Below are 15,878 nucleotides of genomic sequence, written 5' to 3'. Positions count from 1 at the left end.
CTTATAAACTCCTTAGGCTGTCCCTCCACTGAATGAAAAAGGAGCGGGGCGGGAAGATCAGGTCACTCCCACATTTCTGGGTAGAAATAACAGTTTGTTCCTAGGGGGTGAGCTAGGGAAAGGAATTCTGTTTGATATGTGAAGAGCTTTTTCTCACTGGGGTTTTTTCCCTGATATGTCCTTCAACCAAGGTTCCTAGAAATTTCTCCTCTAGGACCTTGTCTTCCTCATGGGATTTCTGCGTGAGTCTCTCTCTCTCCCCTTCCTCACTCCTCTCTCTCTACTCCTTTCTCTTCCTCCACTCTCCCCTTCCCCAACCAGGCCAACTGAGCTGCATTTCCTTCCCACCTAAGGAAGAGAAGTACCTCCAGCAGATTGTGGACTGCCTCCCTTGCATACTGATCCTCGGCCAGGATTGTAACGTCAAGTGCCAGCTGTTGAATCTGCTGTTGGGGGTGCAGGTGCTTCCCACCACCAAGCTGGGCAGTGAGGAGAGCTGTAAGCTTCGGCGCCTCCGCTTCACCTATGGGACTCAGACTCGGGTCAGCCTGGCGCTCCCTGGACAGTATGAACTAGTGCACACGCTGGTTGCTCATCAGGGCAACTGGGAGACCATCCCTGAGGAGGATCTGGAGGTCCAAGAGAACAATGAGGATGCTGCTCATGTTTTAGCGGAACTGGAGGTAACGATGCACCATGCTCTCTTACAGGTACCAATCTCATACTTCTATACCAATTGTATACATATATACCAGCTTTCCTTTTATTTTGACTTTCTAAAAAAGTAATTCGATGATATATAGTCTGAACTCTGAGCAGCAGTGGCTAGTGGAGTCAGAGGAACATAATCTGGGAAGTTGAAAAACAAACAAGGCTGTAGCAATACCCATTCCTGCCTCTCCTTACCATGCTGCAAGGCCCTGAGTAGTTTGCTTGTCTCCTCACTTCCTTATCTCTGTTTCTGAAATGAAAGGAATATGTGATACTTGTATCTTAGCATGCTTTTACAGAATAATTGTAATCAAAGTTAGAAATCCTTTCTCATTTCTTAACAGGAAGATATTGCTTGAATTGTCTCTAGTTACCTCTTTCTAAAAGGAATGATAGATGATGGATGAGTATTGTTCTTATTGGAATTGAGACCAAGTGAAGAATTTTGTGGGTTCTTCCTTAGATCTAACCATTAATTTACTAAGTAGTACAGAGGATAGATCATTTCTCCTACTTTATAAGGAACATGGGAATGTGAGGACAGGTCTGGCTCAATGTAAGGAGACGCGGAGATCCTGTTATTTGAAGAGTATCTTAGTTTCTCTCATAAACTCCCAAAGAGAGCACAGATCTGTGCCATCTCGTAAGATATCATATTGTCTAAGACTTTATACATTATCACTTAGGAAATAACTTCTGTCTTGGTCTGCGTTTCCTTTCCTACTGGATAGTTAGGACCAGGCTATTTAATTAGACCAAATGGGGATGTGACTATGGCAGGGTCAGGAGTGGGTAGGGATAAAATAATTCAGCCATACTCAGAGTTTTGCTCTTGGTTAACTGTGCCAGGAAGGATGGGCTAGTTTGGCAGGACCTGAAAGAGTGGTTTCTTCTTTCCTTCTTTCTTATAACCACTTCATCTACCCCACTTCTAAGAAGCTTAGTTTCTCAGTCAATGAATGAGTCCTTTGGTTGTGGCCATGGCCTGTGACACTCTAGAAGTAAAAATTGTCCTCTCATTTCCTTCCACAGTCCATATTTCTTTCATCTTGATAAATGCCACAGGGGGCTATGTAACAAGCCCCCATTCTCTCTCAGCTCAGTTTCAGTGGTGGTTTCCTGTGTTTTCAAACTGAGAGTTCACATTTCCTAGCTCCAGGATAATGTGAGGGTTTTTGAATAGCTCTGATAGTAACTCTGGCAGTAATCTTTGTATATTAACTGTGGCATGTTCAGTTGACCCATGAACTTCTTCACAATTCACAAGTATTTCATCCATCCATACACAGTCTCTCTGTAGTATACAGTCTTGGTCTAGTTCCTTCAAGCTTCCAATAGCTCAATGGTTTTCAAACTTATATATATATTTTTTTTCTTTTCTTTTTTTCTTTTTTGAGATGGAGTCTCTCTCTGTTGCCCAGGCAGGAGTGCAATGGTGCGATCTCAGTTCACTGCAATCTCCGCTTCCTGGGTTCAAGTGGTTCTCCTGCCTGAGCCTACAGAGTAGCTGGGACTACAGGCACCCGCCACCACACCTGGCTAATTTTTGTAATTTTAGTAGAGACAGGGTTTCACCATGTTTGCCAGGGTGGCCTAGAACTCCTTACCTCAGTGATCCACCCACCTCAACCTCCCAAAGTGCTGGGATTACAGGCGTGAGCCACCACGCCTGGCTACTTTTTTATATTTTAATTCACTGTAAGACATACATTTTCTTTCAGGACCCAGTACATATATACACATATACATTTGAAATATAAGTTTCATGAAATATTACTTTTGCTTTCTGCAATACATACTGATAATTTCTTCTCTCTTCGACTTCATTTTTTGAAAATGTTAGTAGCAACCCACTAAGTTGATGCTATGACCTGATAGATTATAACCTGTAGCTTAAAAAACACTGTTGGTCTCAGTGGCACACCCTTGTAGTCCCAGCTACTGGGGAGACTGAGGCATGAGGATTGCTTGAACCTAAGAAGTTGTATCCAGCCTGGGCAACATAGTGAGACCCTGTCTCTAAAAAAAATAATAATAATACTGTTAAATAGCAGAAATGACTGCTGTGAGTCAGGTGGTGATTTTCCCCATTCTTGCCTTTAGTAACAATCCTGGAATGTGACAAAGCCATCTGCAGGAGAGGCAAATCATTTGACTTTTTTCTCTTAGTCCCTTCATTTTATTTTTTTAAATTACTATTATTATTTTTTATTTTTGAGAGAGAGTCTTGCTCTGTGGCCCAGGCTGGAGTACAGTAGCGCAGTCTTGGCTCACTGCAACCTCCGCCTTCCAGATTCAAGCAATTCTACTGCCTCAGCCTCCCAAGTAGCTGGGATTACAGGTGTGTGCCACCACGCCCAGCTAATTTTTGTATTTTTAGTAGAGATGGGGTTTCGCCATGTTGGCCAGGCTGGTCTCAAACTCCTGACCATAAGTGATCCTCCCACCTCTCAACCTTGCAAAGTGCTGGGATTACAGGCATGAGCCACCATACCCGGCCCCTTCATTTTATTGGTTTAAATTTCTAATGCTTGTCTGAGCACAGTGATTATGCCTGTAATCCCAACACTTTGGGAGACTGAGGGAGGAGGATAGCTTGAGCCCAAATGTTCAACACCAGCCTGGGCAACCTAGTGAGATCCTGTGTACACACCTGTGGTCTGAGCCACTTGAAAGGCTGGGGTTGGGGGATCAAGTGATCCTTCAACCAGTGGAGGCAGTGGTCAGCTGTGATCGTAGCACTGTACAACACTTGGGCAATAGAATGAGACCCTGTCTCAAAAAAAATTTTTTAAAGATCTTTCTCTTCATTACTTTGTGGGTTTTTTTGTTTGTTTGTGTTTTTGAGATGGAGTCTCACTCTGTTGCCTAGGCTGGAGTGCAGTGGAGTGATTTTGACTCACTGCAGCCTCTGCCTCCCGGGTTCAAGCGATTCTCTTTCCTTAGCCTCCCAAGTAGCTGGGATTATAGGCGCCTGCCACCACACTCGACTAATTTTTATATTTTTAGTAGAGATGGAGTTTCACTGTGTTGGCCAGCTGGTCTGGAACTACTGACCTCAAGTGATCCGCCCCCCTCACCCTCCCAAAGTGCTGGGATTACAGGCGTGAGCCACTATGCCTGGCCCTAAATTTTTTTTTTTTAATTTCTAATGCTCATTTACTTTTGTTCCATAAATTGAGGTGATATAAGAAAGTCACAAAAAGGAAAGTATGAGCCATCCCCCCAAGCGCGTATCTGAGCATGTGTCTTCCCACTGAGAGCTCCCAGGGCCTGCTCCTGGTGTGTGCTAAGCATGCAGACAGAGGGAACAACTGAGGAGACTACTTGGATGGGGTGTTGAGTTACCAAATCAGCTTTCTCTCAGCATAGTTAAAAAATATATTCTCTCTTCTCTTTTCTTGAGGAATTCTCTAGCCTCTCATGTTGTTTCATGTGGTTTGTGAGGCTTCCTTGGCCAGTGTTTCTCAAGATCTGCTTTATTCTCCAGTGGTTTTGATGTAGGCCTCATACCAGATCCCTGTAGTTCTAAGTTTAGAACCCTTTGATGTTGAGTCTCAGAGGGCCTTGCAACCTTCGTGGAATCCAAGCACTGCCCTCTCACTGCAGCCCAGCTCCTGTCTCTGTTAGATACATCAGCAATGCTCAGCTTACTGCTGGGGGCATTGTACAGCAGCTACCTGGAAGACTGTTCATGCCAGCAAGAATGAGCTTTTTGTTTAGCTCCAGTTATTTTTAGGACCAGTGAGTTAGCTCTAAACAGCCCTTCCATCTGATTTGTGAAGAGGGTAGTAAAGAAAGGAAACATTTAGCTAAAGGAAATCAAGATTGAATTAGGGGAAATGCAATGTTCATTTTGAACTGTCAAATTATCAAAGCAGAATTTCCCCTGCCCTCTTATACAATGGTCATTCTTCTAATACGTTATTTTAAAGTCCTCATAAATTAGCCATTTTCAGTTTGTTCCAGAATAGGCCAACTCACATGGACCCACACTGCTTGGTATTCCACCTTTTTAATTCTGGATCCCCTGAGATTCTCAGTTCATAATTCAACAATAGAGGAACACCGTCAAGCCATTAGTATCTGAAACCTCATTTAGTGTTCAAATATAGTCACTTTCCAATTGGCAGCACATTTCACCATTCACCATATTCACTAGTTGTGTCTTTGTATACAAAAGTACTCCCTCTTCCCCACCCTCCTGCCTTTCCTTCAAGCATGTATATCTGACACCTCCTTTTCTTTTTCTTTCTTCTTACAAATCTGATGGAACAGTTGTCTGCCTTAGAGTTGCTCAATCTGATATATCTCTGTGTGTGTGTGTGTGTGTGTGCTTTTTTTTTTTTCCTGTGAACACCTATAAGAAAAGGAAGAAGCAGCAGCAGAAGTGATTAAACTTGCTCAGCGTAAGATGGGATTCCTGCAGCCTGGAGGTGGCGTTTCATTTACTGTGGCAGTTACATACCTTCAGTTGATCTGCTCTGATCAGTAGCCTGTTTATCCCCACCAGGTGCTTTTGGCCCTTTGGGCTTCCACATACTGACCTGGTTTTTGGCTCATGGTGTTATCTGTTGGGGTTTACTTCAGGGAACTTTTTTTTTTTTTTTGAGACGGAGTCTTACTCTTGTCACCCGGGCTGGAATGCAATGACGCAATCTCGGCTCGCTGCAACCTCTGCCTCCCAGGTTCAAGCGATTCTCCTGCCTCAGCCTCCCGAGTATCTGGGATCACAGGTGCCTGCCACCATGCCTGGCTAATTTTTGTACTTTTGGTAGAGATGGGGTTTCGCCATGTTGGCCAGGCTGGTCTCGAACTCCTGACCTCAGGTTATCCGCCCACCTCGGCCTCCCAAAGTGCCGGGATTACAGGCGTGAGCCACAGCGCCTGGCCTTTTTTTTTTTTTTTTTTTTTTTTTACCGTTTTTAACTCTAACCAATGGGAGTAGTAAAGTTTTATCTTTATAGTCCTCAACTAATAGCTAATCTGTTTTTTTGTTTTGGTTTGTTTTGGCTTTTTAATTTTTGAGACAGGGTCTCACTCTGTTGTCCAGGCTGGGAGTACAGTGGTACGATCTTGGCTCACTGCAACTTCTGGCTCAAGTGATTCTCCTGCCTCCTCCCAAGTAGCTGGGACTACAGGCGTGCGTCACCATGCCTGACTAATTTTTGTGTTTTTTATAGAGGCGGGGTTTCACCATGTTGACCAGGCTGGTCCCAAACACTTGAGCTCAAGCAATCTGCCTGCCTCGGCCTCCCAAAGTGCTGGGATTACAGGGATGAGCCACCACGCCTGGCCACTAATTGTTTTTGTTTGTTTGTTCGTCTGTTTTGCTAACCTGTTTTTAATAAACAGATATTGCTATTTTAAAATTTTCAGTAATTAATGCTTTTACAACTCATAAGCATTATAAAGGATCTTAAAATGACAAGTTTACATAAAATTTTAACCCCAAATTTACTAAACACTGTTTGTTGCTAGAAAACTGGCATCTCTCAATTCTTGTCTAGGTATTGGCATTTCAAGACCAGACTGGGCAACAAAGTGAGACCTCGTCTCTACAAAAAATTAGCCAGGTGTGGAGGTGTACACCTGTGGTCCAAGCTACATAGGAGGCAGAGGCAGGAGGATCACTTGAGCCCAGGAGGTCGAGGCTGCATTGCATCTTGGGTGACAGAGTGAGACCCTATCTCAAAAAAAACCACACCCCTGCCCCGCCACACACACACACACACACACACACACACACACACACACACAAACCCCAACATCTGTGGCTCACATCTGTGGTCCCAGCACTTTGGGAGGCTGAGGTGGGCTGATCGCCTGAGGTCAGAAGTTTGAGACCAGCCTGGCCAACATGGTAAAACCCTGTCACTATTAAAAATACAAAAATTAGCTGGGCATGGTGGCAGGCACCTGTAACCCCAGCTACTCAGGAGGCTGAGGCAGGAGAATCACTTGAACCAGGGAGGCAGAGGTTGCAGTGAGCCGAGATCATGCCACTGCACTCCAGCCTGGGCAACAAGAGTGAAACTCTGTCTCAAAAAAAACAAACCCAACATTTGTTATATATTACTTACCTTTAGTTAGATACCATATTGTCTCTTGAGTATATCTAGGTTAAAAGATAAAAGTTGATAGGTAAAAGGTAGGAAAGACTGCTGAGTGAGATCCTCAGGGCAAGAAGATACTGTTGGAGGAAGGAGTCTATGGAATTGGGCCAAAAAATGGTCAACTCCAAGGGAAAAGAAACAAGGATCATTTATATGTACAGGACAGAGAAACAAGAAATGATATTCTAGAGGTATAATTAAAATTTTAAAAACTCTTATTTTATGTGGCAAAAAAAGGAAACTGAAGTGATATATTTAAAAAGGATGTGGAAAGTTCAGGTAAATGCTAAATTATAAATTCTTCATGGCAGTAATCCTATTTTGTTTTTAATATCTCTCTCACCTTTACCCTAGCATGCACTAGCATACATAGTAAAATCTAACCATCCTGCATACATTGCTCTTTACCAAAAAACCTGGGAGTTCCTGTTATAGGCTAATATACCTATGAAGGATATGTGTGATTCAGAGGCAATAATTTTTTTTAATCCCTATGCTCACTATAGTAACCTTGATATCTCTTAAAAGAACAGCCTGGCTGGGCACAGTGGCTCACGCCTGTAATGCCAGCACTTTGGGAGGCCGAGGCAGGCAGAGCGCTTGAGTTCAGGAGTTTGAGACCAGCCTGGGCAACAAGGCAAAACCCTCTTTCTACAAAAAATACAAAAATTAGCTGGGTGTGGTAGCACATGCCTGTAGTCCCAGCTACTCAGGAGGCTGAGGCGGGAAGACCACTTGAGCCTGGGAAGTGGAGGTTGCGGTAAGCTGAGACCGCGCCATTGCATTCCAGCCTGGGTCTCTGTCTCAAAAAATAACTAAATAAATAAAAACATCCTGTGTGGCCATAAAAAAGAATGAGTTCATGTCCTTTGCAGGGACATGGATGAAGCTGGAAGCCATCATTCTTAGCAAACTAACACGGGAACAGAAAACCAAACACTGCATGTTCTCACTCATAAGTGGGAGTTGAACAATGAGAACACATGGACACAAGGCGGGGAGCATCACACACGGGGGCCTGTCGGGGGCTGGGGGGAAAGGGGAGGGAGAGTATTAGGACAAATACCTAATTCAGGTGGAGCTTGAAACCTAGATGACGGGTTGATAGGTGCAGCAAACCATACCTATGTAACAAACCTGCACGTTCCCCACATGTATCCCAGAACTTAAAGTAAAAACAAAACAAAACAAAATAACATCCTGAAGCTGAGGCTGTATTTTCTCAATTCACTGTCAGTGATTCATCTCTGGCCTTCCAGGGTTAGCTCTTGAGGCAAAAATCTGACAGCAGTCACAGTCTTAATCTTCTTCTTTTGTCTTCTGCCTTTGCTAGGATTCTACCTCTTTCCTGCACCAAATGGCTTCCTTTCTGTTTTTACTATCTCACATATTTGTTTGTTTCCTTCTGAGTAGAGGATGGATGGGGTAGGGAATCTTCCCTAATTCAGAGACTCAGAGATTGAAAAGTATTGTCAACGGGCAGAAACTGTTGTTAGGACTATTAACAATATTTTCTTTTTGACTGCTATTGTGATGTCTCAGCCAATCCATAGAGGATATTATCTTGTTTGATAACAAAGCCTTTACTTTGTAACCAGCATATACTTCTTAATACAGAACCCTAGCTAGAATTGTTAGGACCCCTGAAAGCATCTAGTCTATCTTTTTTTTTTTTTTTTTGAGACGGACTCTCACTCTGTTGCCCAGGCTGGAGTGCAGTGGCGCGATCTCGGCTCACTGCAAGCTCTGCCTCCCGGGTTCACACCATTCTCCTGCCTCAGCCTCCCAAATAGCTGGGACTACAGGTGCCCACCACCACGCCCGGCTAATTTTTTTATATTTTTAGTAGAGATGGGATTTAACCGCGTTAGCCAGGATGCTCGTGATCTCCTGACCTCAAGATCCACCCACATCGGCCTCCCAAAGTGCTGGGAGTACAGGCATGAGCCACCACGCCCGGCCGCATCTAGTCTATCTTTTATTCTACTTTCATAACTTCCCAAACACCAAATCAGACAGTGCTTGACACACAGTGGGCCTTCAATGACTGTTTAAACATTGTCTTTGTAGCTACATGGACCTGGATTTATATCCTGGTTTTGTCACTTAGCTGTGTCACTTTGTTCTCTCATTTGTAAGATGGGGCTATAATTCCTGTCTTTTTTTTTTTTTGAGACAGTATCTCACTTTGTCGCTCAGGCTGGAGTGCAGTAGCAAGATCTTGGCTCACTGCAGCCTCAACCTCCCAGGCTCAAGTGATCCTCTCACCTCAGCCCCTGAGTGCCTGGGACTACAGGTGCATGCTACTATGCCTGGCTAATATTTGTATTTTTTTGTAGAAATGGGGTTTTGCCATGTTGCCCAGGCTGGTCTTCTAGGCTGAAGCAGTCTGCCTGCATCAGCCTCCCAAAGTGCTGGGATTACAAACATGAGTCAGTGTGCCCGGCCTATAATTCCTATCTTTTAGAATTGGTATGAGGCTAAAGTGAGAGAATGTGTTGAAAGCACCTACCACAGTGTCTGGCACATAGTAAGCCCATTTCCACCTGCCTTTGAATAAATCAGTGTCCTTGAGAAGATTTCCTGCTCTCTCAGCCACCCATCCTTTCCCTGACGATCATCCACATTGGAACTCCTCCCAAAACTTAAGGCTTCTTGTTCCAACTTACTTATAGTTATTCTTCTACTCTTATTAGAGAGAACGTTCTTCATAATTCATTATGGCTTACTTTTGTAATAAAATGAAAGGAGAAAGCTGTTATAAAAGGTTAATAATACAGAAGTATATAAAAGTTGAAAGGTAAAGTTTTCCCTCCTTTCTATTTCCCTCTTCTCCATTCTAGAGAAAATATTTTGTCTCTCTCTCTCAATCTAGTAAGTGGCAAGAGAATAAAATTCAGATTTCTACTGTTATCTGCATCAGTAGATACCTGGGTGTTTGACTGTCCATTAGGTAGAATGCATAGAGACCATTCAATATATTCTTATCAACTTGTCGGTTACCTAATCCATTGTCATTCGAGATAGAGAGAAGAGAGTTGAGATCCTTAAAGTCTTCATGCTCATGAGTTGAGAATCAGAGCTAAAGCCTTTGCTTTGGGGTGTTTGGGATTATAAATATTCTTCTACTTTTAGCATGATTGTCTCATGCTTTCTATGGCTACTGAGGGCTATGACTGTGATTCTGTTTTTTCTAAGTCTTATATCTGGCCTGAGTTACACACTGATGCTTTTACTAGGTAGGGAGATGAGCTTGTATCCATTCAATGTTGACTACTGGGATAAAACTCTGGTTTGCCTTCACATTGATCCCAGTTTCTTTGAGGCATGTTATAACCTAGAAACATGTTATAGCCTGTTTGGTTGCAGCTCCCCCTTGGAAAGTATATGTACCAAAAAGAGTCAAGGTATTTTCTTTTTCTTTTTTTTTTTTTGAGATGAAGTCTCGCTCTGTCTCCCAGGCTGGAGCGCAGTGGCACGATCTTGGCTCACTGCAACCTCCGCCTCCTGGGTTCAAGCGATTCTCCTGCCTCAGCCTCCTGAGTAACTGGGATTACAGGTGCCTGCCACCATGCCTGGCTAATTTTTGTATTTTTAGTAGAGATAAGGTTTCAGTATGTTGGCCAGGCTGGTCTCAAACTCCTGACCTTAAGTGATTCACCCGCCTTGGCCTCCCAAAGTGCTGGGATTACAGGCATGAGCCACCACACCCAGCCAAGTCAAGGTATTTTCTATACAATAACAAAAATAGGGAGGTATTTTACTTAATATGTAATTAATATTTAAGAGTGATGGTTCAGGGAACTATTTAGAAATGAAAAAGAATCAGCCCTGTGTGAAAACAAACAGGAGAAACCTTTCAAATGCCCCATGAGAATGTCACGAGAGGAGAATTGGAAGTAAAGTAGCTAGAATATGGGGACAAGGATAGAGGTCAAGGCTGTCCAAGGGCAGGACAATTACTAATATATAGTTGTGTGTGAACCTGAGGCTTCAGAACTCTAGAGAAAGCAAAGACATCTGCTACCTACCAACTTTAGCCTGCGTACATAACTGTTTTCTGGCTTTTTGTTTGTATGTTTGTTTATATTTTAGAAATAGGGTCTCACTCTGTTGTTCAGGCTAGAGTGCAGTGACGTGATCACGGCTCACTGTAACCTCAACTTCCTAGGCTCAAGGGATCTTCCTGCCTCAGCCTCCTGAGTAGCTGGGACTATAGGTGGGTGTCACCATACCCGGCTAATTTGTTTTATTTTTTGTAGAGATGGAGTCTCGCCATATTGCCCAGGCTGGTCTCGAACTCCTGGGCTCAAGGGGATCTTCCAGCCTCAGCCTTCCAAAGTGCCAGGATTACAGGCGTGAGACACTGTGCCAGGCCACTGTTTTCTGTTTGAATTATCAGTTAGTATAATCATCCTTTGTTATAATAGAGTTTTAGTAATGTGCCATGAGCTACAGAGTAAGGATTCTTCACCTATAAGAGTCAGTATTCTTAGGAAGGGGTCAGCCTTCGTCAGTGATTGAGTGATTACTTCTTGGCATTTAAAATAGCGTCACTGGCTGGGCACAGTGGCACATGCCTATAATCCTAGCACTTTGGGAGGCTGAGGCAGGAGGATCGCTTGAGCTCAGGAGTTTTAAGACCAGCCTGGGCAACTTAGTGAGATTTTGTCTCTACAAAAAATTTAAAAATAAATAAAATAGTGTCATTTTACACTTTATACCCAAAACAAAACCAAAGAAGTATATTCTGGTGTTTGTAGAGTAGCAAGCTCCTTTCTATTGCATTTCTTTTTTTTTTTTTTTTTTTTTTTTTTTTTTTTTAAGAGGGAGTTTCACTCTTGTTGCCCAGGCTGGAGTGCTATGGCATGATCTCGGCTCACCGCAACCTCCGCCTCCTGGGCTCAAGCAATTCTCCTGCCTCAGCCTCCCGAGTAGCTGGAATTACAGGCATACGCCACCACCCCGGCTAATTTTGTGTTTTCAGCAGAGATGGGGTTTCTCCATGTTGATCAGGCTGGTCTTGAACTCCCAACCTCAGGTGATCTGCCTGTCTCGGCCTCCCTAAATGCTGGGATTACAGGCGTGAATCACTGCACCCAGCCTCTATTGCATTTCTTAATCATGCCGAGAAAATGGGTGGTAACAGATCAACTTCTGTAAACTCCACAGATTTATGCAGAATGCGTTCTACAAGAGAAATCTCTTTAGGAATTCACTATGACTCAATATAGGAATTATGGGTTATTGTCATGATTCCTTGAGATTCTTTTTACTTGATTGAGTTAGGAGCAAAATGCTTACTCATTGCTTTATTCTTGGAGTAGAGGCAAATGCAATTTCAGATAAATGTGTGGGATAAAATGTGTGGGATGGGAGTTGAAAGATAGAAGATTTTACATATGCCGATTGAAAGTGGCTTTGAGCATCATTTCTTCATTAATTCATTCCATGTTTATTTATTGGATGCTTACTAAGTGCCAGGCACTGTTCTAGGTGCTAAGAAGGTATATAGCCATCCATGAAACAGTCTGAGGTCAGACTTCCCTCTCAGGTGGCCATACTAAGGCCCATAACAGCTCTGGCTCATCCTCTTTATATTAATTTTTATTTTTTCACTCCCTGTCTCCAGGAAACAGTGTTGGCGTCCTTTTTTGTTTATAACCGTCAAGCATGAGTCATCCCTTCACTGAGTATTGCAGAATCGCATATCACATTCCAGCCTAATTCGTACTGCTGCCAGGGTCTCTGCCAGCAGCTCTTTGCCTATCTTCTGACAATCATGATACTCAGAGCAGTGAGACCAACTGCACATGTTGGTCAACTGGGGAAGGGAGAAGACAGAGCATGATACCTGTTTTCTATCCATTTTTGTTTAGTACAAGGTATATTTAGGAATAGGCAGCTTCTGGCGGGCACGGTGGCTCACGCCTGTAATCCCAGCACTTTGGGAGGCTGAGGCAGGCGGATCACGAGGTCAGGAGATCGAGACCATCCTGGATAACATGGTGAAACCCTGACTCCACTAAAAATACAAAAAAATTGCCGGGCGTGCGCCTGTAGTCCCAGCAACATGGGAGGCTGAGGCAGGAGAATGGCGTGAACCTGGGAGGCGGAGCTTGCATGAGCCAAGATTGCGCCACTGCACTCCAGCCTGGGCAACAGAGCGAGACTCTGTCTCAGAAAAAAAAAAAAAAAGGGCAGCTTCTTTGTGGGTGCCAATATATCAGGCCATACTCTACCATTAGAAAGCCCGAAATCCATGGCAGGGCACGGTGGCTGGTGCCTGTAATCCCCGCACTTTGGGAGACCAAGGTGAGTGGATCACCTGAGGTTGGGAGTTTGAGACCAGCCTGACCAACATGGAGAAACCCCATCTCTACTAAAAAAACAAAATTAGCCCGGCGTGGTGGCGCATGCCTGTAATCCCAGCTACTCGAGACGCTGAGGCAGGAGAATCGCTTGAACCTGGGAGGCGGAGGTTGCAGTGAGCCAAGATGTGCCATTGCACTCCAGCCTGGGCAACAAGAGTGAAACTCCGTCTCAAAAAAAAAAAAAAAATTAAAAATAAAGCCTGAAATCCCTTTTTTTAATTAATTAATTAAGTAATTTTTTTTTTGGACAGTATCTCACTCTGTTGCCCAGGCTAGAGTGCAGTGGTGTGATCTCAGCTCACTGCAACCTCCACCTCCCAGGTTCAAGTGATTCTCATTCCTCAGCCTCCCAAGTAGCTGAGACTACAGGCATATGCCACCATGCCCAGCTAATTTTTTTTTTTTTTTTTTTTGGAGACGGAGTCTCACTCTGTCACCCATTCTGGAGTACAATGGCATGATCTCAGCTCACTGCAACCTCCTCCTTCTGGGTTCAAGTGATTCTTCTGCCTCAGCCTCCTGAGTAGCTGGGACTACAGGCTTGTGCCACCACACTCAGCTAATTTTTGTATTTTTAGTAGAGACAGGGTTTCACCATATTGGCCAAGCTGATCTTGAACTCCTGACTTCGTGATCCACCTGCCTCGGCCTCCCAAAGTGCTGGGATTACAGGTGTGAGCCACCTTGCCCAGCCTAATTTTTGTATTTTTAATAGAGACTGGTTTTGGCCATGTTGGCCAGGCTGGTCCCGAACTCCTGGCCTCAAGCAATCTGCCCACCTCAACCTCCCAGAGTGCTGGGATTACAGGCATGAGCCACTGTGCCTGACTTCCAAAATTCATTTCTTTAATAATGAATTTACACCTATGAGCAAATAAAGTCAGCTGGTCTCTTAAAAACAGTATTGGGCCAGGCATGGTGGCTCACGCCTATAATCCCAGCACTTTGGGAGGCTGGGGCAGGCAGATCACCTGAGGTTAGGAGTTCAAGACCAGCCTTGCTAACATGGCAAAACCCATCTCTACCAAAAAATACAAAAATTAGCTGGGCATGGTGGCACATGCCTTGTAATCCCAGCTACTCAGGAAGCTGAGGCAGGAGAATCACTTGAACCCAGGAGGCAGAGGTTGCAGTGAGCCAAGATCGTGCCACTGCGCTCCAGCCTGGGCGACAGAGCGAGACTTCATCTCAAAAAAAAAAAAACAACCGTATTGGTCTTACAAATGGACTTGGCAGCTTTGGCTGATGTTTCTGTTGTGCACACAAAATGGTCCTTTAAGGAAAACCTGAAAATTTATTCTAGAATTTTAAGATAATCCATCAGAAAAAACAAACAAAATTCTTCCTGAAATTTCTAAACAATACTTTGGTTTTGAATATTTAGGCTTTCCTTTCATAAATTTGATTGGTTGATTTATATCTTTTAAAAAATATGTCTTTAGGGCAGCTTTGTAATATAAAAAATATTTCCACCTATAATTCTTTACTTTAATGTAACTGTTTTCTTTTCTTTTCTTTTTTTTTTTTTTTTTTTTTGAGACAGTCTCATTCTGTCACCCAGGTTGGAGTGCATGGTGTGATCTCAGTTCACTGCAGCCTCCGTCTCCTCGGTTCAAGCAATTCTCCTGCCTCAGCTTCCTGAGTAGCTGGAATTATAGGTGTGCACCAGCATGTCTGGCTAATTTTTGTATTTTCAGTAGAGACGGGGTCTCCCCATATTGGCCAGGCTGGTCTTGAACTCCTGACCTCAAACGATCTGCCCACCCCAGCCTCCCAAAGTGCTGGGATTACAAGTGTGAGCCACCACACCCAGCCTAATGTAACTGTTTTCCTTTCCTTTTAGTCTTTATCTCATTGTTATATGTGATTATAATGTTGTCATTTATGCAGTTGTATGTTCTATTTTAAACCTTAAAATTTGTTACTTACCAACTTTTTGAATATGCCTGACTGAAATGATTCATACTGTAGCATGTGTGACTCAGGGTAGTGAAAGGGGGTTTGTTTTGAATAGCAAGATGAGCATCAGACTAGTCTTCCAACCAGAAAACATTCCATGCAACTTGAGACACAGATGAAACAGCAAATTTCTTCTTGGCTTGGGGTTGGATAAAGGGTGGATTGACTTATGTAGTGTTTGCTAAAATGACAAATGGTGAGATGCTAAAAGCACTTTGAGCTTTAGGGAGTTCAAAGTGGCCAGGCAAATTAAAGTTATGTGACCTATCTGAGAATATAGCATAGTTCTTTGTGAGAAAAGAAAGTGAGATATTTGTGCTTTGTTGGAAATAAAAAAGATTTTAAAAACTCAAGGCTGGGCACAGTGGTTCACACCTGTAATCTCAGCACTTTGGGAGGCTGAGGCGCAGATCGCTTGAGCTCAGGAGTTCAAGACCAACCTGGGCAACATGGCAAAACCCCATCTCTACCAAAAAAAAAAAACCCAAAAAAGAATGAAAATTAGCTGGGCGTAGTGGCTCACACCTGTAGTATCAGCTACTTGGGTGGCTGAGGTGGGAGGACCACTTGAGCCTGGGAGGTTGAGACTACAGTGAACCTTAATTGCACCACTGCACTCCAGGCTGGGCAACAGCACAAGACCTTGTCTCAGAAAAAAAAAAAAAACCACAAACAAACAGAAAAACTTTTATCAAAAATACCTACTGCTCATGCTGGG

At 43.6% G+C, this 15,878-nt stretch overlaps 1 protein-coding gene across 8 annotated transcripts in view, besides 1 other annotated feature; it reads left to right on the top strand.

Moving 5' to 3' along the window:
* DSTYK (dual serine/threonine and tyrosine protein kinase) overlaps positions 1-15,878 on the top strand; it is a 69,198-nt gene that overhangs the window by 23,575 nt on the left and 29,745 nt on the right. For 3 of the 8 annotated variants that reach the window (NM_199462.3, NM_015375.3, XM_047417151.1), the window contains one exon: positions 322-710. The exons of 2 other annotated variants lie outside the window; for them this stretch is intronic. In NM_199462.3, the coding sequence (NP_955749.1) occupies positions 322-710 (389 nt within the window). Of the gene's footprint in view, positions 1-321; positions 711-15,878 lie in introns of those variants that run through there. 3 more of the 8 variants (XM_047417145.1, XM_011509392.3, XM_047417147.1) reach the window with 2 other exon arrangements.
* Positions 12,928-13,429: an enhancer, noted in NCBI's record as "H3K4me1 hESC enhancer chr1:205143827-205144328 (GRCh37/hg19 assembly coordinates)". NCBI's record gives its function as "activates a minimal SCP1, AML or CMV promoter by ChIP-STARR-seq in primed H9 embryonic stem cells {active_cell/tissue: H9 hESC(primed)}" and the evidence as "EXISTENCE:reporter gene assay evidence [ECO:0000049][PMID:30033119]".

Source organism: Homo sapiens, chromosome 1, assembly GCF_000001405.40.
Source record: "Homo sapiens chromosome 1, GRCh38.p14 Primary Assembly".
In the NCBI taxonomy this organism is placed as follows: domain Eukaryota; kingdom Metazoa; phylum Chordata; class Mammalia; order Primates; family Hominidae; genus Homo; species Homo sapiens.
Note: the sequence above shows the minus strand (reverse complement) of the source record. Positions and strands in the feature narration are given on the sequence as shown.